The 25,273-nt window shown below is 40.9% G+C and overlaps 1 protein-coding gene and 1 pseudogene across 2 annotated transcripts, besides 4 other annotated features; one reads left to right on the top strand and one right to left on the bottom strand.

The window, feature by feature from the left end:
* On the top strand, nt 1-24,069 carry ELK4 (ETS transcription factor ELK4). Of its 2 annotated transcripts, NM_001973.4 has the most exons (5): nt 1-380; nt 8,121-8,336; nt 11,174-12,046; nt 12,939-13,055; nt 15,368-24,069. In NM_001973.4, the coding sequence occupies exons 2-5, from the start codon at nt 8,130-8,132 to the stop codon at nt 15,464-15,466; spliced, it is 1,296 nt and encodes a 431-aa protein (NP_001964.2). In that variant the 5' UTR covers nt 1-380; nt 8,121-8,129; the 3' UTR covers nt 15,467-24,069. The 2 variants fall into 2 exon arrangements, with proteins under 2 accessions (NP_001964.2, NP_068567.1); NM_021795.3 differs by lacking the exons at nt 12,939-13,055; nt 15,368-24,069 and having other exon boundaries at nt 11,174-12,744.
* Nucleotides 94-243: a silencer, noted in NCBI's record as "silent region_1746". NCBI's record gives its function as "represses an Ori minimal core promoter by ATAC-STARR-seq in GM12878 lymphoblastoid cells {active_cell/tissue: GM12878}" and the evidence as "EXISTENCE:reporter gene assay evidence [ECO:0000049][PMID:35858748]".
* Nucleotides 334-523: a silencer, noted in NCBI's record as "silent region_1745". NCBI's record gives its function as "represses an Ori minimal core promoter by ATAC-STARR-seq in GM12878 lymphoblastoid cells {active_cell/tissue: GM12878}" and the evidence as "EXISTENCE:reporter gene assay evidence [ECO:0000049][PMID:35858748]".
* Nucleotides 534-953: an enhancer, noted in NCBI's record as "active region_2384". NCBI's record gives its function as "activates an Ori minimal core promoter by ATAC-STARR-seq in GM12878 lymphoblastoid cells {active_cell/tissue: GM12878}" and the evidence as "EXISTENCE:reporter gene assay evidence [ECO:0000049][PMID:35858748]".
* Nucleotides 2,957-3,226: an enhancer, noted in NCBI's record as "active region_2383". NCBI's record gives its function as "activates an Ori minimal core promoter by ATAC-STARR-seq in GM12878 lymphoblastoid cells {active_cell/tissue: GM12878}" and the evidence as "EXISTENCE:reporter gene assay evidence [ECO:0000049][PMID:35858748]".
* LOC100420878 (GABA type A receptor-associated protein pseudogene) lies at nt 5,662-6,627 on the bottom strand (annotated as a pseudogene).

Here is a 25,273-nt window from a genome sequence, read left to right as displayed (position 1 = left end):
ACGGCGTCTGGGAGGGACCCAGGAGCAGTCGGGGGGTTTGAGAGTGGCGGCGGCCGCGGAGGGCCTGGCAGGCCCCGCCGCTGCAAGGAACGCCCCGAACGCGCGCGCCCGGCGTGTAGCGGCCCCAAGACCCGCGCCGCCGCTGCCGCGTGCGGGGGCGGGGAGGGCGGGGCGCCAGGAGCCGCGGCGGCGGGAGATGCGGGCGGCTGCGGGCACCCGGCGGGCTCGGCTTGGCCGCCGCCGCCTTCTACGGCTCCGCCGCGGGGGTCGCAGCGGCTGCCGCGCCGTCCTCGAGTTTCCAGCGTGAGGAGGAGGCTGAGGGCGGAGAGGCGCATCGTGTTCGAGGCGGAGACCGAGGGGGAGCCCCGCGCGCGGCGTCGGTGAGCGGTCAGCCCCGCGCGCCCCCTCGGGATCTCGCGGCCACAGCCCCACCGGCCGGGAGCGGGGGCGGGGGCCGAGGGGCGCGCGGCACAACAGGAAGTGGGGGCGGGGGCCGGGGCCGGGCGCGCGCGCTCCCCTTGGGTCCGCCCCCGGCCCGCCGGGCACCGCGGCGCACAGGTGGACGCCGCAGCGCACCGCTCAGCTCTCGTCGCCTCTTGGTCCCCCGAAGTCTCGTGGGCGAAAGGTGGCGGCGATTTTTTCGGCGTGGATGGGGAGGAGGGGAGCAATTCTCATTTTCTGTAGTGACAGGAAGTTGGAAAATGAAAGTACAGTAATTCAGTGCTTACCAAGGCCCGGTGAGGTTGCACCTCTTCCCCCAGACTTTGATCTCCTGTAGGGCACACGCGGCCGTCCGCGTTTCTTCCTCTCCCCTAGCTCGCTAGTCATCCGGTGTCGAGTTTCATTTCTTTTTCTCTTTCGCTCCAGCGGCCCCCCGCCCCTCTTTACTTTCCGCCTTGTGCACAGCTGCATCGAGGCTGGTAACTTCATTCCTGGGAAGATCAATTGGAAACATCTTTCGGGGCGGGATAGTAACTGGCCTTGGAAGGAAATAGGGATGTTGTTGACTGAAGTAGTCAAAAGTACACACTTCACTTTTTCTCCAGCTATTGCTATTTGAAATTTGGGGAATTTAAATAAAGATTCTGGAGTTCTATGCCTCATCAGAATGGTTTGTCCATCTCTTTGGTTGATAGATCAGATCCTCTGTCGTCTTTTCCCACCCCCTACACCCCCTGGCTTGGAAAACTTGGTGCTTCAATATTTAGGTTTGGCAGCGGTGTTTTCATTAAAATGTAGTATGATTCAATATTTTCCCTTCAGGAACACTCTTCTCTTTGATTTTACTTAAACATTAAAACTGCGTAAGTGGAATCTGTTCATTCCTAGTGAGGTAGTGTCTTTAAGTTTTATTGTAAGAATATTGTAAGAACTGTGCAGGATCCTATACAAAGAGTATTTTTTAGGAGCCTGTGTAGTTAAAAACGTCATGTTACTTTTGGTTACTTTTTGACAACGGTGAGTATTTTGATTCGAAACTAGGCTTGATACATTCATAACTTGGTTTTTTAAGTAGCAGGCTGAAGAAAATTTGGAGACTTTGTGTTTTTTTGGGTCTTAGCTACTGTCTCTGAAAAATAGTTGGGCTATGGGTCACCACAGCAACTGGACTGTGTGTATTATAAACATGTTTAGGGTGGAAAAGGTTTTATTTAATAGAGACTTCCTTTCCTTAATACATTACTTCAACATGCTCCCTTTCAATTTAGGACAGGGATTGGTCTATCTTTGAAGTGTTAAAATAGAATCAATTATGTTTTCAGCCTTTACCCCCTCAAAAATCAAATACCTTCATTTGGACCAGTTAAGTGTTTTCTTCCTTTGTTATAACTTTAAACTTTAAAAATTGCAATTGTGGAAAACTCGGGATTCCTGTAAGAAGGAAAATCAAGTAATTAGCCTCTTTTTTTTTTTTGATAGGTAACAAGAATAAAAGGTTTTGTTTGGTTTTGTTTTGTTGTGTTTTTGTTTTTGTTAGAGACAAGGTCTCACTCTGTTGCCCAGGCTGGAGTGCAGTGATGTGGTGTCTGCTCACTGCAACCTCCATCTCCCGGCCATTCTCCCACCTCAGCCTCCCGAGTAGTCACGCACTACCATACCCGGCTAATTTTTTGTATTTTTGGTAAAGACAGGGTTTCAACATGTTGCCTAGGCCAGTCGTGAACTCCTGAGCTCAAGCTCCCCCCTTGGCCTCCCAAAGTGCTGGGATTACAGGCATGAAGCAACCACATAATTTTTAATAACTGTCTTAGGGGATTTTTTTTCTTTAGCTTTTATTTTATTTATTTATTTTTTGAGACAGGGTCTTGCTCTGTCGCCCAGGATGGAGTGCAGTGGTGTGATTTCAGCTCACTGTGACCTCCGCCTCCTGGGTTCAAATGATTCTTCTGCCTCAGCCTCCCTAGTAGCTGGAATTACAGGTGCCCACCACCACGCCCAGGTAATTTTTGTATTTTTAATAGAAACGGGGTTTCACCATGTTGGCCAGGCTGGTCTAGAACCCCTGACCTCAAGCGATTTGGTCTCCCAAAGTGCTGGGATGGTAGGCGTATGCCACTGTGCCCGGCCAGCTCTCTTTTATATCTGATGAAATCATTGAAGATCATTGTTAATACCACACTTTTTGAAACTAAAATGAAGAGTTTTGACTTAACTATGTAAGAAGACGTTGGCTGCTTTTCAATCAAAAGAATAACGATATCATAATTGAATTAATAAAATATTCCTTTAAAGTACCCAGTGAAAATGTCCACTTTATATCTTTTTCTCAAAATTCATTTCTAATACTTCAGTCTAAAACCTCAAAGCCATTTTTTTCTTTTCTTTTTTTTTTTTTTTTTTGAGACGTAGTCTTGCTCTGTTGCCCAGGCTGGAGTGCAGTGGCACGATCTCGGCTCACTGCAAGCTCCGCCTCTCGGGTTCACGCCATTCTGCCTCAGCCTGCCGAGTAGCTGGGACTACAGGCACCCGCCACCACGCCTGGCTAATTGTTTGTATTTTTAATAGACACGGGGGTTTCACCTTGTTAGCCAGGATGGTCTCCATCTCCTGACCTCGTGATCTACTTGCCTCGGCCTCCCAAAGTGTTGGGATTATAGGCGTGAGCCACTGCACCCGGCCAAAGCCATTTTTTTTTTTTTACTGTCCTCAACCTTCTATCGTAGACACACTGTAGTTGCTAAATAAGCATCAGCATTTTCCACAACAGCTCGGTTCTACCTTAAAGCAGCCAACAGCTCACCAGTGTTTGACTAAATACATGCTGCTCCACTGATAACCAACAGGGAAGGTGCAAGTTAAACCTGTACCATCTGGGGAACACCTGTTATTTTGGGGAGTCTCCTTGGGTGCTCATTATGGAGACGTTAATTTGTTGTTTTTGTCTTTAGATGTATAGCTGAGGCTTTAAACTTGTAGGGCTGAAATGTTATCTACATAATAGGTATTAAGACTCTAGGATCCGGGTGTTGGAATTTTTTCAAAAACAAATGGAATAATAGGCACCACATCTGTGTAGGCTAGAGACTCCCATTCTCTGTCTTTCCTTCATCATCTCACGAATGGATTCATACTCCACCCCTATAAGCAGTCTTATATGAAGGTGATGTCTGGAAATGTGGAAATTGAGTTCTTGGCTTAAGATAACATTTACTAGAGAGTAGTTTTAACAGGATTAGATTAGAAATAATTGTTTAAGTGGGAAAACTGTAGTAGAACGGTAACTTGCCATCATTAGGCATCATCAGAAGAAAGGCCTGTCAGGTAAACTCAAGAGACATAACAGGGAATCCCTGCCTGCTTCCACCATACTTAATGGCCGTAGTATAAAACCGCTATTTTAGCCCCGCTTAAGTGAGGCTATGGGGAACCGATTTCTAGCGGGCATGGTTATTTGGCATTAAGGTAGCACTTCATATTTGTGGATTATTATCGGTATCTAATATGTAATGCTTTTTTACAATCAATTAGCGATATGAGTGCTTTTATTTATTTGGAAAGTGGTTTCCCTAATGGACAGAGTACATGACTGTGATGAAAGAGACTTGGGACTCATGGCCTCAGCTTTTCCATGAATTCTGACTGTGGGCAGCATCTCTCCCTTTCTATCCTTTATTATTTTCCCATCGTTACTTTTAGGTGACTGTCTCTGTACAACCAGCTTCAAAGTGATAATCGTGAGGATTACTGGAGGACATTTTGAGTGTTTCAGAAAAGTTATAGAAACCCAACTATTTTCCACTACAGTTTCTTATCTCTGCCCTTTTTGGAAGTAGGTATAGTTGACCCTTAAGAATCCCATCTTCTGTGAGTTAAATGTTGTTAGAATTAGTCTTCCCAGACCTAACTTTTATAGTGTTTGTTGTGTTGTTTGTTTTAAAAATCTTTATTGAGATATAATTCACATACCATAAAATTCACCTCCTTAGGTGTAATATGCTGTGGGTTTTGTGCAAGCATGAACACAATCTAAGTTTATAATATTTTCTTTTCTTTTTTTTTTTTGAGGCGGAGTCTCGCTCTGTCACCCAGGCTGGAGTGCAGTGGCGCAATCTCAGCTCACTGCAAACTCTGCCTCCCAGGTTCACGCCATTCTCCTCCCTCAGCCTCCTGAGTAGCTGGGACTACAGGCGCCCACCACCACGCCCAGCTAATTTTTTGTATTTTTAGTGGAGACGGGGTTTCACTGTGTTAGACAGGATGGTCTCGATCTTCTGACCTTGTGATCAGCCCACCTCGGCCTCCCAAAGTGCTGGGATTACAGGCGTGAGCCACTGCGCCCTGCCTAAGTTTATAATATTTTCATCACCCCCAAAAGAAACCCTGTACCCATTTTCTATCATTCCCCACTTCTCTTCCCCGCATTTTAGCCCCCAGTCCTAAATAATTACTAATCTATTTTCTGTGTCTGGATTTTCCTATTCTGGACATTTCATATAAGTGGAAACATACAATATGTGGTCTTTTGTGGACTGGCTTCTATTAGTCACTTGCATAATGTTTTCAAGGTTTGTCCTTGTGTGTGTGTGTACCTCATTCCTTTCTGTGGCTGGATGATACCCCATTATGAATGTGCCACATATTATTTATCCATTCATCAGTTGACGGACATTTAGTTTGTTTCTACTTTTTAGATGTTATGAATAATTCTGCTATGAACAGTCCTGTGTAAGTTTTTGTATGGATGTATGTTTTCATTTCTTTTGGGTATATACCTAGGAGTAGAATTGTTGAGTCATGTATTAAACTTGTCCAAAGTGGCTACACCATTTTACATTCCCACCAGCAATGTACAAGGGCTTCAATTTCTCTGCATCCTTGCCAATATTTGTTATTGTCTGTCTGTCTTGATTATAGCCTTCCAAGTAGGCATGAAGTGGTTTCTCAGATGGTTTTGATTTTTAGTTCCCTAATAACTAATTATGTAGAGCATTTTTTTTTTGGTGGTTTCTTCTTTATTGATGTGCCTCCTACCTTCCCCTTGCAATTTCAGTCCCTTCCAACTACCCCCCAAAAAGGTAGTAAAAGGAAGGGATTGCTGGGGTTCTGAGCCCCTTGGGCAGTCAGAAAGGGAACAGAAACTGAAACAATCACTGGATGTGACAGAGACTGACAATCAAGAAGTCTAAAGCAGAATGGGAAAGGCGGGCAGAGAAAGGGGAAGAAAGGAGAAAGGAGAGGTACGAGATGCCAACTCCACCATTACCCCTCCTAAGAGAGGCTGGAAAGAAAGCCTCAAACATTAAGAAGTGCCGGTCCTGAATAAGGGAGGTGGTGTTTGAGCTTGGAGGAGGAGGTCAAGAAAGGGAGGCCACCTCTCTGTAGAATGAGACCCCCCTTCCAGCTCAGGGGTAGCAGCATCACAGACTGTAGACACTTTGGTCACTGTAGGCAACGTAGAGAAAGAAGTCTTCATGGTGTTCCTGGTAGAGCTGACCCATTGTGGCACTGGTGGGCAGAATGACATTGTTGACAAAGAAAAACAAGGCATCCTCAGCTCGGAGATGAATTCGCTTCTGGATCAAGAAGTAGAACTGGGCCGGGCGCAGTGGCTTATGCCTGTAATCCCAGCATTTTGGGAGGCCAAGGCAGGCGGATCATGAGGTCAGGAGTTCAAGACCAGCCTGACCAACATGGTGAAACCCCACCTCTACTAAAAATACAAAAATTAGCTGGGCGTGGTGGCATGCACCTATAATCCCAGCTACTCGGGAGGCTGAGACAGGAGAATCGCTTGAACCCAGGAGGCGGAGGTTGCAGTGAGCCCAGATTGCGCCACTGCACTCCAGCCTGGGTGACAGAGTGGGACTCCATCTCACAAAAAAAAAAAAAAAGAAGCAGCAGCAGCAGAACTGACCAGCTGTGAGATCAGAAGGCACCAGGTATTTCTTTTGGTCCAGGTCTCCTATCCGAGCTTTGGGAGCCTTTTCTACTATCACCGGCACCCGGTCCGGGTATTTCTTTCCAGTCTTCTTGCTCTCGGAGCCGCCCGTTTCTTGAACGGATGCTCTTCTTTGTACACGAATTTCATCCTGTTGGGAACCCGGCTGAACTAGGCTGGGCTGAAGGAACCTGGGGGAGCCGGGAGGTGGGTGGCAGTGATAGTGGCGACAAGTAGGCAGATTCAGCCAATGTAGAGCATTTTTTCGTGTGTTTATTGGCTATTTGTATATCTTCTTTGCTATGATGTCTTTTCAAATTCTTTGCTTTTTTTTTTTTAGTCGTAGGCGTTTTTTAATATATTTTGGATGCAGGCTCCCTTTGTGATACATGGTTTGAAAATATTCTCCCATTTGGGGGATTGTCTTCTCACTTGATGGCATTATTTGCAGCACAACAATTTTAAATTTTGTTGTAGTCCAGTTTTGATCTGTTCTTGTAGTGTTTTAATGGTATTGATATAATTTGTTTTCAAACTCTATTCTAACCCATTGAGATCTCATTACTAGAGAAAGGAAGGTTTTTTGTTTTTGTTTTTTTTTGTGTGTGTGAAGTATTCAATCATAAGATTCTTAGGACACACTTATACGGATTTGGCCAGAGTTTCTGCCCTAAAGAATTCTTCCTAATAGAAAGGTGTTTTGAAATTGTATGAGGAAAATACCTTTATGAGAGAGCATTCCTTGCTGCTCCTTTGCCTAAACCAATGGTTATCTACCGGGATGACTTTGACCCCTGGGGGAATATTTGGCAGTGTCTGGAGATATTTTTGATGGTCTCAATGGGGCAGGCGGTGCTACTGGCATCTAGTGGGTAGAGGCCGGGTATGCTGTTAGACAAACTGCAGTGTACAGGACAGCTTCCCACAACAAAGAATTATCTGGCCCCCAAAACCAATAATGCCAAAATTGAGAAACTCTGGCCTAAACAGGGAGATCCTGAAACTTAAGATATTAAAATATTTTTCTTCAATCCATGCCTTGATAATCACATAAAGATTGCTAATCAAAGGAGAATCTTTGCAGATGGAATCACTGTGGACAGAACAGTGACAGAAAAGAGAACACTTTGCTGAATTCAAAATGCTGCCAATTTGTATGTAAATGACATTTATGGTGATGGAAACCAGTTGGAGCAAAAGTAGATTATTCCCTACACCTCAGTCCCTGGGCCACCCTGAGATAGACACAAACACATACACTCACAGGCAGATAACCAAACCGGGTTGATTTAGACAGATGCTGGAATGGTGGTCTCCTGAGAGAATACAGCAATGAGATTTTAGGATTCAAATTTAACAACAGTGATTGACAGTCACTAGTGATTGACAATCATTGTTTTTTCCTATAATTTAGGGAACTAGCTTTATCCTCCTTGCAAGTTGCTTGTTGCTTAAGACATTTCTTAAGCAGCGTGGCATCCTTAAGAGTTTGGATTCTGGGTCCAGATTGCCTGGGCTTAGATCTTAGCTTCACCGTTTACTTGTGTGATGTTGTACAAGTTCCTTAACCCTCTTATGAATCAGTTTTTTCTTACGTAAAATGAGGATGCAGTAGTATCTACCTTATAGAAATGTGGGGATGAATTAATACATTTAGAGCACTTAAAACAGTGCATGACATACAGTGTTAAATAGGTGTTGGCTGTTAATATTATCACATATCTTATCTATATTCTTTCAGCTCATTGCTATGGACAGTGCTATCACCCTGTGGCAGTTCCTTCTTCAGCTCCTGCAGAAGCCTCAGAACAAGCACATGATCTGTTGGACCTCTAATGATGGGCAGTTTAAGCTTTTGCAGGCAGAAGAGGTGGCTCGTCTCTGGGGGATTCGCAAGAACAAGCCTAACATGAATTATGACAAACTCAGCCGAGCCCTCAGATACTATTATGTAAAGGTAGTACACATCCTGATCTTATACTATACAGAGAACCTCCAGACAAGAACGATTCCTTCTTGGCTGGGCACAGTGGCTCACGCCTGTAATCCCAGCACTTTGGGAGGCCAAGGAGGGTGGATCACCTGAGGTCAGGAGTTCAAGACCAGCCTAACCGATGTGGTGAAACCCTGTCTCTACCAAAAATACAAAAAAAACGTTAGCTGGGCGTGGTGGTGGGCACCTGTAATCCCAGCTACTCAGGAGGCTGAGGCAGGAGAATCGTTTGAACCCGGGAGGCGGAGGTTGTAGTGAGCCAAGATTGTGCCATTGCACTCCAGCCTGGGTGACAGTGAGACTCCGTCTCAAAAAAAAAAAAAAAAAGATTCCTTGTTTTCTGTTGAGGTTATAGATACCAATTTCCTAGTTTATTTTAATCCAGTGTATTTTGTAGCTTCAGCAGTTTGGAATTAGGATACAAGGTATAAATGTTCCGGCTGAATCTCTACCAAATCTTCTTCTTTTTTTTTTTTTTTTTTGAGACGGAGTCTTACTCTGTCGCCCAGGCTGGAGTGCAATGGTGCGATCTTGGCTTACTGCAACCTCTGCCTCCAGGGTTCAAGCTATTCTCCTGTCTCAGCCTCCCAAGTAGCTGGGATTACAGGTGGCCACCACCACGCCCAGCTAATTTTTTATTATTTATTTATTTGTTTATTTTTTTAGTAGAGGTGGGGTTTCACCATGTTGGCCAAGTTGGTCTTGAACTCCTGACTTGAGGTGATCCACCTGCCTTGGCCTCCCAAAGTGCTGGGATTATAGGCGTGAGCCATCACAGCCAGCTGCCCCAGATTTTATTTATTAACTTACTCCCATTACACATATTTTATTCCTAATTACAGTTGTCTTTAAAAGAAAAAATATGTACAGAATTGGAATATGACAAAGGCAATTTGAGATTCTTGAGGATAAGTAAATATTCTCATGTGTGTCATAATTTACTTTAAAAATTGTGAAGCCTGGAGTAGTGGCTCATGCCTGTAATGCCAGCACTTTGGGAGGCTGCAGCAGGAGGATCACTTGAGCCCAGAAATTTGAGACCAGACTGGGCAACACAGGGAGACCCCGTCTCTACAAAAAACAGTGTGGCGCGGTGGTGTACACCTGTAGTCCCAGTGCCCAGGAGGCTGAGGCAGGAGGATCACTTAAGCTCAAGTGGTTGAGGCTGCAGTGAGCCATGATCACACACCACTGCACTCCATGAGAACCCTGTCTTGTTGGGGAGAAAAGTCATATATGTACATATACACACACACATATATCTACATATATACGTTTTATATCTTAATTTTTAGTTTTAGTTTAACCCAGGGAACACAAATTAAAACCTTATACCTTAAGTAGTAGCTGTTTATACACAGAGTTGGTTTTTTAGTTAAAATTGCTGAGATCTTAATTTCTTTCACTTTTTTTTGTTTGTTTGTTTGAGACGGAGTCTTGCTCTGTTGCCCAGGCTGGAACACAGTGGCGTGATCTCAGCTCACTGCAACTTCTGCCTCCCAGGTTCAAGTGATTCACCTGCCTCAGCCTCCCGAGTAGCTGGGACTACAGACATGCACCACCACACCTGGCTAATTTTTGTATTTTTGGTAGAGATGGGGTTTCACCATCTCTACGGGAGGCTGGTCTTGAACTCCTGACCTCAGGCAGTCCACCTGCCTTGGCCTCCCAGAGTGCTGGGATTACAGGCGTGAGCCACTGTGCAGGGCTCTTTCACCATTAAGTGGTTGATCTTACCAGCTTTCCTGTCTGGAGATAAACTGGAATTTCTGAAGGAAGTAAGAACCTTAACAGATACTATGTTCTAAATTCCTTTTTCACAGCCGGGCGCGGTGGCTCACGCCTGTAATCCCAACACTTTGGGAGGCCGGGGTGGGTGGATCAGTTGAGGTCAGGAGTTCAAGACCAGCCTGGCCAACATGGCAAAACCCCATCTCTACTAAAAATACAAAATTAGCTGGGCATGGTGATGTGTGCCTATAATCCCACCTACTTGGGAGGCTGAGGCAGGAGAATTGCTTGAACCCAGGAGGCAGAGGTTGCAGTGAGCTGAGATCACACCACTGCACTCCAGCCTGGGTGACAGAGTGAGACTCCATCTCAAAAAAATAAGTAAATAAATTCCTTTTTGCTTACTCAGGATGTGTATGGCTTATACCTTTGGAATTGTTTGAGACTGCAGTTCAGGGAGTTCTAATCTGCACAGATATTTGGTTGAGAGTGGTAAGCAATTAAAATCCTTCAGTTTTTATGTAACATATTAGTTCAGTTGTTAATAAGACATTTAAATGTTCTTGCCTTAACTTCTCCATAATAGTAGGGACTGTGTTTGGTATGGCTAGATGAATTTAGGTGATTTTGAAAGTTTTAAGTAAGTGATGTCTACTTCTAAAATGGAGAACCTCATTACCAGCTTTTTCTTTTTTTTTTTTTTTTTTTTTTTTTTAAGACAGACTCTTGCTCTGTCACCAGGCTGGAGTGCAGTGGTGTGATCTTGGCTCACTGCAACCTCCGCCTCCCGGGTTCAAGGGATTCACCTGCCTCGGCCTCCTGAGTAGCTGGGACTACAGGCGCACGCCACCATGCCCTGCAAATTTTTTCTGTTTTAGTGGAGACGGGGTTTCACCATGTTGGCCAGGCTGGTCTCAATCTCCTGACCTCGTGATCCGCCCTCCTCGGCCTTCCAAAGTGCTGGGATTACAGGCATGAGCCACTGTGCCTGGCCGATGCCAGCTTTTTCATGAACTATGGGATATAAGTTTATAAGAAAGGATAAAAATGCTTTTTTTTTTAACCTACAGAATATCATCAAAAAAGTGAATGGTCAGAAGTTTGTGTACAAGTTTGTCTCTTATCCAGAGATTTTGAACATGGATCCAATGACAGTGGGCAGGATTGAGGGTGACTGTGAAAGTTTAAACTTCAGTGAAGTCAGCAGCAGTTCCAAAGATGTGGAGAATGGAGGGAAAGATAAACCACCTCAGCCTGGTGCCAAGACCTCTAGCCGCAATGACTACATACACTCTGGCTTATATTCTTCATTTACTCTCAACTCTTTGAACTCCTCCAATGTAAAGCTTTTCAAATTGATAAAGACTGAGAATCCAGCCGAGAAACTGGCAGAGAAAAAATCTCCTCAGGAGCCCACACCATCTGTCATCAAATTTGTCACGACACCTTCCAAAAAGCCACCGGTTGAACCTGTTGCTGCCACCATTTCAATTGGCCCAAGTATTTCTCCATCTTCAGAAGAAACTATCCAAGCTTTGGAGACATTGGTTTCCCCAAAACTGCCTTCCCTGGAAGCCCCAACCTCTGCCTCTAACGTAATGACTGCTTTTGCCACCACACCACCCATTTCGTCCATACCCCCTTTGCAGGAACCTCCCAGAACACCTTCACCACCACTGAGTTCTCACCCAGACATCGACACAGACATTGATTCAGTGGCTTCTCAGCCAATGGAACTTCCAGAGAATTTGTCACTGGAGCCTAAAGACCAGGATTCAGTCTTGCTAGAAAAGGACAAAGTAAATAATTCATCAAGATCCAAGAAACCCAAAGGGTTAGAACTGGCACCCACCCTTGTGATCACGAGCAGTGATCCAAGCCCACTGGGAATACTGAGCCCATCTCTCCCTACAGCTTCTCTTACACCAGCATTTTTTTCACAGGTAGCTTGCTCGCTCTTTATGGTGTCACCATTGCTTTCATTTATTTGCCCTTTTAAGCAAATCCAGAATTTATACACTCAAGTTTGCTTTCTGTTACTTAGGTTTGTCTTAGAAAGGTTATGTGTGACTGTCATGTGAAAGTTACCCCATTTCTCATCTTAATTAGGATTGCTAAAATAGAAAGTTTGGAGTATTTTCTTAAAAAATTCATTGTTCTACAAGTAAATAAATATTTTGATTTTTCTATTTCCTCCTAAAGAAAGTACACACACTCTCTCGCTCTCTCTCGGTCTTATAAAACTCGTTGGTGTCTTATAAAACAAACAGTGATAATCTCAAGTTAGAAAACAGTAGGTCCTGAGAACCATAAGAAAAATGACTGGTGTGATGTTGAGTAACAAGTTGGTACAGTTACTTTAGCTATTTATTAACTTGCTCATCTCATAGAACATTTTAGTAGATTTTTCACACACCTCATTATTAAAAAAAAACAAACATGCTGGTGTCTTGGTTACCCATTATTCCTCTGTACCTGAATTCAGGTTGGTTTTTCTATTTGGAAAAGACTTTATAAATGTTGGCTTAAAAAGAGGTTGAGCACCAGAATCTCAGAATTTACCACCAAAGAACTCATCCATGTAACCAAAAACCACTTGTACCCCCAAAAACTATTGAAATAAAAATTTAAAAAATTTTAAGTAGTTATTATCACCTTTATCCCTCTTAGTTTGTAAAAATAATTTTTGAGTTTTGTCATGATAATATTTCAGACTTGGAGATATTTGGAGTGGAGGATAGGGCAATATTTAGGTTTGGGTTATTTGTGTGCTGTTTCAAGGATAAAACATCCTGGTAAGTCAGTCAGTGAATATTTTTGCTTTGTGTATTGCAGACACCCATCATACTGACTCCAAGCCCCTTGCTCTCCAGTATCCACTTCTGGAGTACTCTCAGTCCTGTTGCTCCCCTAAGTCCAGCCAGACTGCAAGGTGCTAACACACTTTTCCAGGTAATTTTATAAATATCTGTCTTCTGTAGTTGGAGCATGTTAAATGAAGAAAGAGGCAAAAAGGCAGGGTCCCACTATTCAGTTTAATCATTATAAAACTTCTATTTAATGAATATTCTTTTTTTATTTTTTTGAGATGGAGTCCTCACCATGTCACCCAGGCTGGAGTGCAGTGGCATAATCTCAGCTCACTGCAACCTGCACCTTCCAGGTTCAAGCGATTCTCCTGCCTCAGCCTCCGGAGTAGCTAAGATTACAGGTGTGCAACACCACGTCTGGTTGATTTTTGTGTTTTTAGTGAGACAGGGTTTGACCATGTTGTCCAGACTGGTCTCCAACTCCTGACCTCAGGTGATCCGCCCACCTTGGCCTCCCAAAGTGTTGGGATTACAGGCATGAGCCATTGTGCCCTGCCCAATGAATATTCTTTAGATTTATTTTTGAATTTCCAAATATTAATTTTCTAGCTGGCAAACAGCTTGAATAAATATAGCAAAGTTTCATTTTCATTATTTACTATTACATACATTTGAGTTAGACCAAGAATTGTTCAATACTGTAGGAGATTTAGAGCCTACCCCAAGTTTTTGTCACTAGAAATTCTCTATTTAAAAAAAAAAAATGGGCCAGGCAGTGTGTGTGTCATGCCTGTAATCCCAGCGCTTTGGTAGGCCGAGGCAGGAAGATTGCTTGAGCTCAGGAGTTTGAGACCAGCCTGGACAACCTAAGGAGACCTTGTCTGTACTAGAAATAAAAAAAATTAAGTTAGGCATGGTAGCACGTGCCTGTGGCCCCTAGAGCTACTTGGGAGGCTGAGGTGGGAGGACCGCTTGAGCCCAGTAGATCAAGGCTGCAGTGAGCTATAATGGCACCGCTGCACTCCGGCCTGGGTGACACAGTGAGACCTTGTCTCAAAAAAACAAAATCCACACACACACACTCTCTCTCTCTCTCTTGCTCTCTCTCTCTCTCACACACACACACACACACATATATGGGGGATCTCTGCACATAGGTTCCCTCTTTTAATTAAAGATTAAAAAAAATTTTTTTTTGAGGCGGAGTTTTGCTCTTGTTGTCCAGGCCAGAATGCAATGGCACGATCTCAGCTCACTGCAACCTCTGCCTCCTGGGTTCAAGCGGTTCTCCTGCCTCAGCCTCCCGAGTAGCCAGGATTATAGGCATGTGCCACCATGCTAGGCTAATTTTGTATTTTTAGTAGAGACGAGGTTTCTTCATGTTGATCAGGCTGGTCTCAAACTCCTGACCTCAGGTGATCCGCCCGCCTCAGCCTCCCGAAGTGCTGGGATTACAGGCATGAGCCACTGCACGCGGCCCAAGCATTTTTTTTTTTTTAATAGAGAAAGGTCTTGAAAATGGTATATCAAACAGTCCCATTTCTCCCTCAGTCAGAATTGATAATTTATCAACATTTTATATGTACATTTTTAAAAAAATGAATATTATCTCTTCACCAAGACGTTAGGAAAGTTCTTGCCATTCCTAATGGGTTTAGCCATTATTTTGCCCAAAACACTTAGATGTTATAACTTAAAGACTTTCTTGGAGTCAATTCATTTACTTATTCATGGTTGACTATCTCTGATTTTCTTATATTTTGTAATTTAACTTCTCATTCTTTTAGAAATGAAATGGTAGGGAAAAAGAGGAAAATTAAAAATCTCTCTGCTTTTTATTTTTTGCCAACGTTTAAAATTATTGAATAGAAAAAAAAGTTGAGAATTTTTCATATTTTTTTTCATTGCCACACATGAGCAGATAATTGAGTTATAGAGTCAGCTGAGACCTTAAGCAAAGTCATAGTGCTCCTGTAGCTTCAGCCTGGAATCTCCCTGTAGAGCTGGCCTCAGAATACTTGATGGGGAACCCTTTTCTAGGATGAGTGCTATTTATACCTTTCTGGATCTCTTTTTGAGGGTTTATGATTTGCTCCATAATTGAATTACACTCTGTAGTGCATATTGTCATTTACTTGAACTTTCTAAAACCTTCATTTGAGGTTAATTGTAAACCTGTGTACCTTAGGATATGAAGGAGGGTACAGGTTGTTCTTTGTTTCTACTCCATTGAGGTAAGTTGGAGAATGTTAATATTTAATATGTTAGGACAAAAGATTTTTGTTTCTAGTTTTTGTTATGACATCATATTCTTTCATGATAAACAGCCACTGCCTTTGTCCTGTGAGCCATTACAGAAGGCTGTTGTGTTTTGCCTCAGGTAATAGAGTAGGATAGAAAGTAAAAGTTGGGGTTGAGTAATAGGATGATAATGTGTTTTGTTTTCTTTCTCAGTTTCCTTCTGTACTGAACAGTCATGGGCCATTCACTCTGTCTGGGCTGGATGGACCTTCCACCCCTGGCCCATTTTCCCCAGACCTACAGAAGACATAACCTATGCACTTGTGGAATGAGAGAACCGAGGAACGAAGAAACAGACATTCAACATGATTGCATTTGAAGTGAGCAATTGATAGTTCTACAATGCTGATAATAGACTATTGTGATTTTTGCCATTCCCCATTGAAAACATCTTTTTAGGATTCTCTTTGAATAGGACTCAAGTTGGACTATATGTATAAAAATGCCTTAATTGGAGTCTAAACTCCACCTCCCTCTGTCTTTTCCTTTTCTTTTTCTTTCCTTCCTTCCTTTTCTTTTCTCCTTTAAAAATATTTTGAGCTTTGTGCTGAAGAAGTTTTTGGTGGGCTTTAGTGACTGTGCTTTGCAAAAGCAATTAAGAACAAAGTTACTCCTTCTGGCTATTGGGACCCTTTGGCCAGGAAAAATTATGCTTAGAATCTATTATTTAAAGAAATATTTGTGAAATGAATTGGCATCTTTAGGACTAAGTGTGCTCTGTTGAATGACTTAAAGTGAGCTGTTCCTAAGCAGTGGAAGAAGAAGAATCATTCCTATTCATACAAAGTAAGATTGGAGCAGTCATACTGGGGAGATTGTTTTGTGTGAACTATAACGTGTAAGCAACTCCATGAAAAGGCATCTTGTTTACCTTTATTCAGGGTGGATCTCTTAGCCATATGTATGATCCTGTCTGAACCTGTCAACAGAGCATGGAGCTAGTCTATTTCACTATAGAAAGATTTTTAGACCTGGGGTTTAAGACAGTTTTTGGAACACCTAGTAAGAATATGGGACCTCACATCTAGCACAGAAATGCTCTTTGCCCTCTGGGTGGTATGATTATATGCCCATGGAATACAGCATGGGAAATGATCACTTTTAGGAGGATGAACTTGGATTTTGAATATTTGAAACATCTCTGAGTAAAAGATTCGATCAGATAACTTGAAACAACATGTAGTGGTTTTCTCAATTAGAAGATAACCAAGTGAAGGACCTGTCTTTTTCCTGTTCATTTTACCTCATTTTCTACTATACATTTATCACCTTTCCTTTATGTTTAAGGTTGTTAGAGGTTATGATAGTTTTAAAGATGCAGTTAGGAAGGTAGAATTCAAAGTGAAGCCTCCCCAGTCAGGAGCGAAGATGTGCTTATTTCCTTTTTTTTTTTTTTTTTTTTTTTTTGAGACAGAGTCTTGCTCTATCACCCAGGCTGGAGTGCAGTGGCGCGATCTCAGCTCACTGTAAGCTCCGCCTCCCGGGTTCAAGCAATTCTCCTGCCTCAGCCTCCTGAGTAGCTGGGACTACAGGCATGCGCCACTACGCCTGGCTAATTTTTGTATTTTTAGTAGAGACGGGGTTTCACCATGTTGGCCAGGATGGTCTTGATCTCTTGACCTTGTGATCCGCCCACCTCAGCCTCCCAAAGGCGCAGGCTCAGATGTGCTTATTTCTTTCAACTTTTTTTTTTTAAATGGGGAAGAGCAGAGTTCATTTGGGAATGCTTATACATAGGGATTGGATTGTTCATATTAGTAGTAAAAAATGTAGGCCTTATTCTCTACATTACCAAATTTTTAAAATATTACTATATGGTAATCAATGCCAGGTACAGATTTGTTGGTTCCCCAAACTGAATTGATATCAGTATCACAGTGGAGTCTTTTGAAAATTAAAGTCCAGGATTAAATTATATGTTGTCACCATTCACCACCACTACCACCCTCCCCCACCAATCTCTCCCACCGGTTAAACTCGTCTTCTAATCCTGTAGAATCACATGAACTAAATGAAGAAGTAAGAACTTGAAGGCTCAGACTGACACTGTTACAAACTAGCATCTTCAGATGCATGGTATTTACTTTAAATGTGCTTATATACAGTGTAGAGAAGCTCTTGTATAAGAAGACATCTATGCTAGCTAACTTAGTAGTAGTAGAGGGAACATATTCAGTGAGCTGCCTTTATATCTGTAGTGTCGGAGACTTGTTACTGGTTCATTTGTGGTTATCAGTTGAAGGTTCTGTTCCTGAGATGTGCAATAGTAGTGTTGAAAGGTATTGTTTAATAGTGATGGGGAACAGACATATTGGACTTTTTTTTCCATATTAAATTATTTAGTTTGCATGCCTGTTTGAAATTGGACCTCTCAGCAGCACTTTGAAATAGTTTTAATTAGGTTAACATTTTGTACATTAAATAAGTAGATATAGATGGTTGATTTAACTAGATGTGTTAAATTTTGAAAGCACAAAGGTATTTTATCTTTTTGAATTAAAGGAGAAAAGCCATTGATTTGTTTTCACAGACAGTATTTTTAATAATTAACTGTCTCAGCACAGAGGTACCTTGGAACCAAGGGCACCATTGAAACTCAGTTGAAGCAACTTCCTAGTAAACCATTTTAGTGAGTCCTTTTTGCATAAATCTATAGCCTCTCAGAGGTGTGAGGCTGTCACAGATTGGTGATCTGCTATCTCTTTGAGATCAACTAATTTGGAGAAGTGTGTGTGTGCGTATCCTTTTTTAAGTCAAAGTTTACAACCTTACTGCAGGTGTATGAGGCAGACAGTTCTGTTTATAGACTACCTCCTTCCTGGAAAAGTCTCAGCTTCATATTCTGTTGAATATATGCAGAATTCTTAGTGTGAAAGGTGATGTACCACTTCAGATCAGTTTTCACTGGAGAGACTTGTAATTGGTAGCTGTAGCTCGTATCCATCCCTAGTCACTTTGCCAGGATGAATGCTGTTGGGCAGCAGTAGCCTAAGTTACGGAAGGGGAGCAGATTGAATGGGGTTTTGAGACATCTTCTCTGATACCTTAGCTTTCCTTCTGCTCTGGTCGCTATCCACTCAGTCGTGTGCTAGAAATGTTTAACAACCAGGATCTCTGGGGTGGGGGTGGGGGGGAGCGCTGAATTTGTAGCATTTGCTGCAAATATAAATTATAAATAAAATTCTAATATAAATTAGAATTTTATATCAAATTCTTTGATATAAATTAGTTACTCCTCCTGTGGCTGATTTCAAGCTACCACCTTAGAGTTCAGAAAGGATGTGCACAGTTGGCTCAGAGCCAGTGCTGGCAAACCATTGCATTTACTCCACCCAAGAGTGGATTTTCACATAATTTCTAAAATAATTTTTTCTTATTTATATACTGACTTTTCAAAATACAAAATTAAAATATCATGTCTGACTTCAGTGATCTTTTTCTTTTTCTTTTTTTAGAAATGAGATCTTTCAGTAATCCTTTAATTTAATTTTTTAGAGATGGAGTCTTGGTGTGTTACCCAGGGTGGACTCAAACTCCCGGGCTCAAGTGATCCTCCTGCCTCAGCCTCCTGCATAGCTGGGCTACAGGCATGCACCACCACACCTGGCTTAGTAATCCTTCTTTATTAATGGTTTGTCACAGTACGTTTGTGATGTTATATTGCTCATGGCATACTTTATGTGTTCGAACAAAGGTGGAAATTTCCATTGATTTTTTTTTTTTTAAATGTATGCACAAACAATCTGGATTTTGAGGAGTACGGTCAGGAAAAAAAAAAAAGAATTAGAGGCCCTTGAAAGGTCAACCGTAAGCTTCTTAGAGTTAAAATATGAGTTTAATTTTTTCCCACATTTTGACAGTTGAAATTTTGATAGGGACAGTAAACCTATGAGCCTCTATTAGGCTACTGGATTTTTTTTAACTGGAAAATTCCTTGAAGATTTACATACTATATTACAGATTTTAAAAGTCAAGACTGACTTAAGTAAATCAGAGGTTTGGAATTCTGGAGCTGTAACTCCAGGCTGTTGATAGTATCACTTCAGTTCCATTCACCCCTGCATTGTGTGACGTCCAGTCTGACAACATTGTTTCATCCTGATCTGACTTTCTACTATGATTCTTAAGTTCTTAAAGGTGTCCTTTTATGTTTTTGGTGAATGTAAGCACATTTAGAGCCACTCAGTACCACTTCTCAATACCTCTGAAGCAGTGGTTCAGAAAAGGAGTGTCCAGCCTTTTTGAACACACAAATTGATCAGTAAGAGTTATTGAACATAAAAACTTTCCCTATTAAAAATTCATATGGGTATATGTTAAATTATATACCGCTATACCAAAGTAATATGTGTGTTATAAAAAAATACACAAAAATTGAAGTGAAGGATGGCATAAAAAGTAATTCTTGAGTAGCAGTTATAGTATTTTCTTCCCACACCCCAGTTGGTTGTCTTGTGCACCCTCCAGAAGCACACGCTTTTCCTAAAGACTGCTGACTCAGGATATTCTCATTCTAATCTCCAAACATATATGATGCTCTCTTATGATATATGGAGAAATCCTAGAGATTTGGAGTTTTTCAGGAGAGCTTATTGTCAACTTTTGAAATTTCACATTAATTCTTTTTGATAAATTCCCAAATAATAATCCATTACCACATGTTTTCCACAGCTTTATTCCTATTACTTTCGTCAGCCTGTTGTCTCTTATCTTCATGTTAGGTATGACTCTATTTTTATTTTACTAGTCTGCTCACAGACTTCTTTGGGACTTATGTTATATTTTACCAACAAATTTAGAATTATTTCAAGTTGCTTTATGTTAAAATATATAACAAGTTACATTTTCTTGCTGCATTAATAAGTTTTTGATTTTTAAAATCTGATATTTCAGCAACTAAAGGAATACTTTTCTTTATAGGTCTGTTCTGTTTTTAACCTCATTGACTGTATATGTTTTATTTACCCGTGCCAGGAGTCTAGAATCGTGCTTAGGTGCCATTCTTAGGTATGAAAACAAGTTTGGAGACCAATGCAGGTCTCTGTGCAGAAATCTGGGGCTCTAAATGAATTACCAAACCAATAGGAAAGTTAAAATACTACTCATGATGTAGTGTGTCATCTGAAGCTATGATAGAATATATTATTTCTAAAATAGTATTGAGAAGTTAATTGTTCAGTCCATAGTAGTGTAAGTGAAGTGTGGAGGTCAGCCATAGTTGTCTTTCTTCAGCAGGTACTCTAACCAGAGACTGGGTTCTGTGGAAAATAGAATTATATTCTTGGTTTGGGATCAACAAATGTTTTGTTATTGTTTTAATGTTGCTGGCATTGCCTGAAACAAAGTGCCCTGTTATTCCTCTTATGTCATCAGAACTCTGCTTACTGAAGTTGAAGTTTAATCTTAGGATCTAGAATTCTTGTGGTTGGTCGTGTATTAAGAAAAGAAGGTGGTTTGATTTTATTTCTTGTACTTGGTGGAACCTGTTACTATACAAGTCATGTTTTGACCTGTAAGCCGAGCAAATCTGAAAGGTGAATCGTTAATGGTAGTATAATTGTTTCATTTGAAACTGTCAGTTTCTTCAAGTCACTTCTCTGAAAAAAATTATGATAGATTGATAGCCTGCCAGAAAATAGCAATTTCTAAGGTGCTGCCATCCACACTTACTTATTGTGAAATATGAAAATCCAGAGTGGTTTGTATGAGAGGGGAAATACTGGCTCTAAGCTTTCTACAGAAAACAGGAAATTCATGCTGTTGTTGACATAATTTTAAAGGAAACTTTTAACAAGAAAATTCATGAGGGATACAATCAAACATAGTTAATCTCTTGAGTGCTAATCATTTGAGTATAGTCCACATCAGGAAGTTTTATGAGGTTGAAAACTTTACTTTGAAATATTTAATTGGGAGACTAGACCATTTCTTTTTCCAAGTCATTCTGATTTATTGTCCTAGTAAATGTATGTGTATGCATATATACTGATGTATTGACTGAATGTGTGTGTGTGTGTGTGTGCGCGTGTAAATCTGTTTTCATAGGGAACATACATTGATGGCTCCTAGTCTATTTTATACTAAAACTTAAAAAAATTTGCTGCACTTTGCAGTTGCCACTTTTTAAAAGATTAATGCTTTGCACATTTCAGTAGGCCTTAAAGATGAATTGCTCACCAACATTTTAGAAATACACTGCTTACATGTGACATACTCTAAACAAAGTCATAGTAAACTGTTCTCTTAGGTTCATGTATTATTGAGCAAATAAGGATGTCCTTTCTTAAAATTTCTACATTTATGTTTGCTTTTGTGTAAAATCTTTATTAGTTTGTAAGTTTCTCAAAGAGGAGGTTTATACTGGAAGCAGTATTTCTAAAGTACAGAGATTCGACCATGGATTGAATACAGTAGTGGAGGAATGCTGGTATTGTGGCCTAATTTATCCTTTTAAACTGTATGTCATTAGTATTAGCCAAAACCTCAGAGTGGAGTGTCTTGGGCTGAATGATCTTCTCAACTTTGCCTTGTTTCCCATCTCATAAAGGCTCCTTCTGGTTCTTTTCCCTTCCAAGGATTGTGAGTCATGCTCACATAGGCCTGGGATCTTCTGGATGGGGTCGGGGAGGAGGTGGGGGTTTCCTGTGGCTGGCCCAGAGTTCTAGCCAATGGAATCATTCAAGAATGCCTAAAGTTCAGGGGTGGGAATGCCATATATTGGTGTTAATCACTTGGCACTTTCTTGGGCACCAATATTAGCACTGTTTCATTTTTAATAACTGGAAGCACTTAATGATTATTTTGTTTGTTTAATTTCAACTTAAGGATATTGAGGGTCAGAGAAGTAAGGTTTATTTCTTGTTTATGTTTTCTGGAATTTATAGGGTGTTTGTAGAAGGGATAAATGGGTTACCTAATGAGCCATTCTTCTAGGCTCTGTAAGGTATGCCCTTTTGGCTAGGATATTTTAAAATAATTTGCAAGCTTTTAATATTGTGCTTTGTAGAAATTTACGATTTTTAAAAATAATTTGCAATTGATAGATTACACTTAAATTTATAAAGTATCCAATTTTAAGTTTCTTTTCTGTTTGGTCATTGTTGCTTATTGTCTATTGTGTAGGGGACACAATCCTGACATTTCATTGTTTTGTTACTTGGGGCAGTATTAACCAGTGGCCTTTGTATGTACATTCATTGCTTACATTTATTGTTTAAGTGGTAGAGTAGCATTTTTATGAACTTCCCTGTTCAGTATTAGTGAAATTGACAGATGCGTATATGTAAAGATAGAAAAGAAACGAATACAATTAATTTTTTATTCCTTGAGGCCTATTTATTTGTTTTGGCCCTGGATCTTTTCTAATCACAATTATATTTCTTTATTTTTGCCTTTGAGCAGTTTCATTTATCTTTGTGGGCAGGGAAGATTAAATATGAAATTCAGTCCAGTCATTTTGCTACTGGTTAGCTTTAGTTTGAGGCAAGTAAAAATTTTTGATTAAAATTAGTTTCTTAAAATTATGCCCTTGCTTTACCAAATAATCAAATTGGCTAAAAAATAAGGGTATGTAACTTTGCATTTTGAAGAACAAACCAATAATTTTTCATGAGCCCTACTCGATCTTCTTTAAAGAAGACCTTCCTAAGAGACAATTAGGGATGAGTTTGATTAATGGGAAATAGCTCTAGGTTAGATTATTTTAAATTCCATACACCAAGTGATTTAACCACAGTGGCAGTGGCAGTTTCTGAACCGTCAAGTATGAACATCACTTAAAAATTAAAAGATGCTTAATAATAAACTCTTAATTTTCATTAAGCCAATCTGTAATTCAGAAGAAAAGCATATGTCTGCCATGGGACTATTGCAGTGCGTCTCCATCAGTGTTAACACAGGAGAGATATGTTATTTTATGTGTATGTCTTAGTTTGGGATATGTGGTAGTAAGAACATGTCAAGAGTGCTTTCTTCAAACCTGTCAGCTCAACTGAGAAGACAGTTACTTCATTGCTTATTTTTTCCCTTGTTTTATTGAAATCTGTATCTCATATCCAGTATCTAACACTTTGTAGAGATACTTACATATAATGTAAGTGCACACCTACCCAGAGGAATGGATAACTGTTAAAGTGTTAATAATAGCTCGTCTTAGTTGATTTCAGCATAATTTACATTAGGGAGACCTAAAAAGCACCTTCAAAGTATTAAAAGCACCTTTTTTTTTTCTTTTTCCTAAAAAAGCAATTAAAATGGTCACTGCTAACATTTATTAAACTTCATGTTAGTTGATGAAACAGCTGGAGGGAAGCTGCCACATCTCCTAGCTAAGCAGTCTGACTTACCTGTTGGGAAACAAAGGGATATTGCTCTAAGATTGATTAGGATGATTGTAGCTAGAGTCTTGAATTCTATCTGTATACGGCAGAGAAACTTTATAGAGTGTAGAGAGGTGAGCGAAAGGATGCAAAAGCACTTTGAGGGCTTTATAATAATATGCTGCTTGAAAAAAAAAATGTGTAGTTGATACTCAGTGCATCTCCAGACATAGTAAGGGGTTGCTCTGACCAATCAGGTGATCATTTTTTCTATCACTTCCCAGGTTTTATGCAAAAATTTTGTTAAATTCTATAATGGTGATATGCATCTTTTAGGAAAGATATACATTTTTAAAAATCTATTTTATGTAAGAACTGACAGAGGAATTTGCTTTGTATAATGCAGGCTGGCTTTACAAAAGCACTGTAGCAAATTTACTACAAGTCTAAAAGTATACATATATGTTAATAGATATATGTGCAACTAGATATGGACAGCAGTTGTATTTTTTTAAATAAATATTTTTAACAAAATGATTTTCTGAATTGATTATTTATTCCCTTCTCTCACATTCATTGAGGTGGTCTCTTTACAGTCTCTGTATTACATTTTCATCCATGCTAACTGTGGGTCAGGAAAGAGTTGTTTTCCCAATGGCTATCATTAAAATCTGGCCTTCAACAATTTGATATGTATCTACATTAAAATATTTAAAGTCTAGATTCAGATAGGTGGTGAACAGGGGAGATTGTAAAATGATTGTTGACATAAAAGGAATTAAGAGAGAACTGAGTGGCTAGAAAAAATATTCACCATGTGAAATCTCTTTTTGTTTTACTTGAAAAATAAAGGGTTTTTAAAAATTTAATCAGCTGGGTGCAGTGGCTCACACCTGTAATGCCAGCACTTTGGGAAGCCAAGGCAGGTGGATCACCTGAGGTCAGGAGTTTGAGACCAGCCTGGCCAACATGGTGAAACCCTGTTTCTACTAAAAATCCTCCCAAAATTAGCTGGACGTGGTGGGGTGTGCCTGTAGTCCCAGCTACTCGGGAGGCTGAAGCAGAAGAATCGCTTGAATCCGGGAGGCAGAGGTTGCAGTGAGCTGAGATCACACCACTGCACTGGTGTGATCATGGGTGACAGAGCAAGATCCTATCTCAAAAAAAAAGAAAAAAAAATCAGAGGCTTTTATCTAGCCCTTGTAAAAAGCAATGTAGACTTCACTTAGCAAATGAAATTAGGCTTTTTTAGAATTGGGTCAAAATAATATACATAAGGGAAAGTGGGTTGTTTTGTTTTGAGACAGAGTTTTGCTCTTGTTGCCCAGGCTGGAGTGCAATGGTGCGATCTCGGCTCACTGCGACCTCTGCCTCCTGGGTTGAAGCGATTCTCCTGCCTCAGCCTCCCGAGTAGCTGGGATTACAGGCATGCGCCACCACACCCGGCTAATTTTGTATTTTTAGTAGAGACGGGTTTTCTCCGTGTTGGTCAGGCTGGTCTGGAACTCCTGACCTCAGGTGGTCCGCCCGCTTTGGCCTCGCAAAGTGCTGGGATTACAGGCATGAGCCACTGTAACCAGCCCAAAAGTGGGGTTTATAGGTGGCAAAATGACAGCAGAGAGCTGTTTTCGTATCTCTTAATGAAAATCACAGGAGGATAGAGTGACAGATTGTTCTGGGGCAAAGGGGGCAGTTCACTACCCTGGTGAAATGGGTGAAATGTCACTTTGGTTGGTGGGTC

This window comes from Homo sapiens, chromosome 1, assembly GCF_000001405.40.
Source record: "Homo sapiens chromosome 1, GRCh38.p14 Primary Assembly".
Lineage (NCBI taxonomy): Eukaryota > Metazoa > Chordata > Mammalia > Primates > Hominidae > Homo > Homo sapiens.
The sequence above is the reverse complement of the archived record's forward strand: the minus strand, read 5'-3'. Positions and strand labels throughout refer to the sequence as shown.

Excerpts from the sequence above, each read along its gene's own strand:
- ELK4 (NM_001973.4), top strand. The coding sequence starts at position 8,130 with ATGGACAGTGCTATCACCCTGTGGCAGTTCCTTCTTCAGCTCCTGCAG. Across the intron at positions 8,337-11,173 it reads TCAGATACTATTATGTAAAG|AATATCATCAAAAAAGTGAA; the intron begins GTAGTACACATC and ends TTTAACCTACAG. Across the intron at positions 12,047-12,938 it reads CACCAGCATTTTTTTCACAG|ACACCCATCATACTGACTCC; the intron begins GTAGCTTGCTCG and ends TGTGTATTGCAG.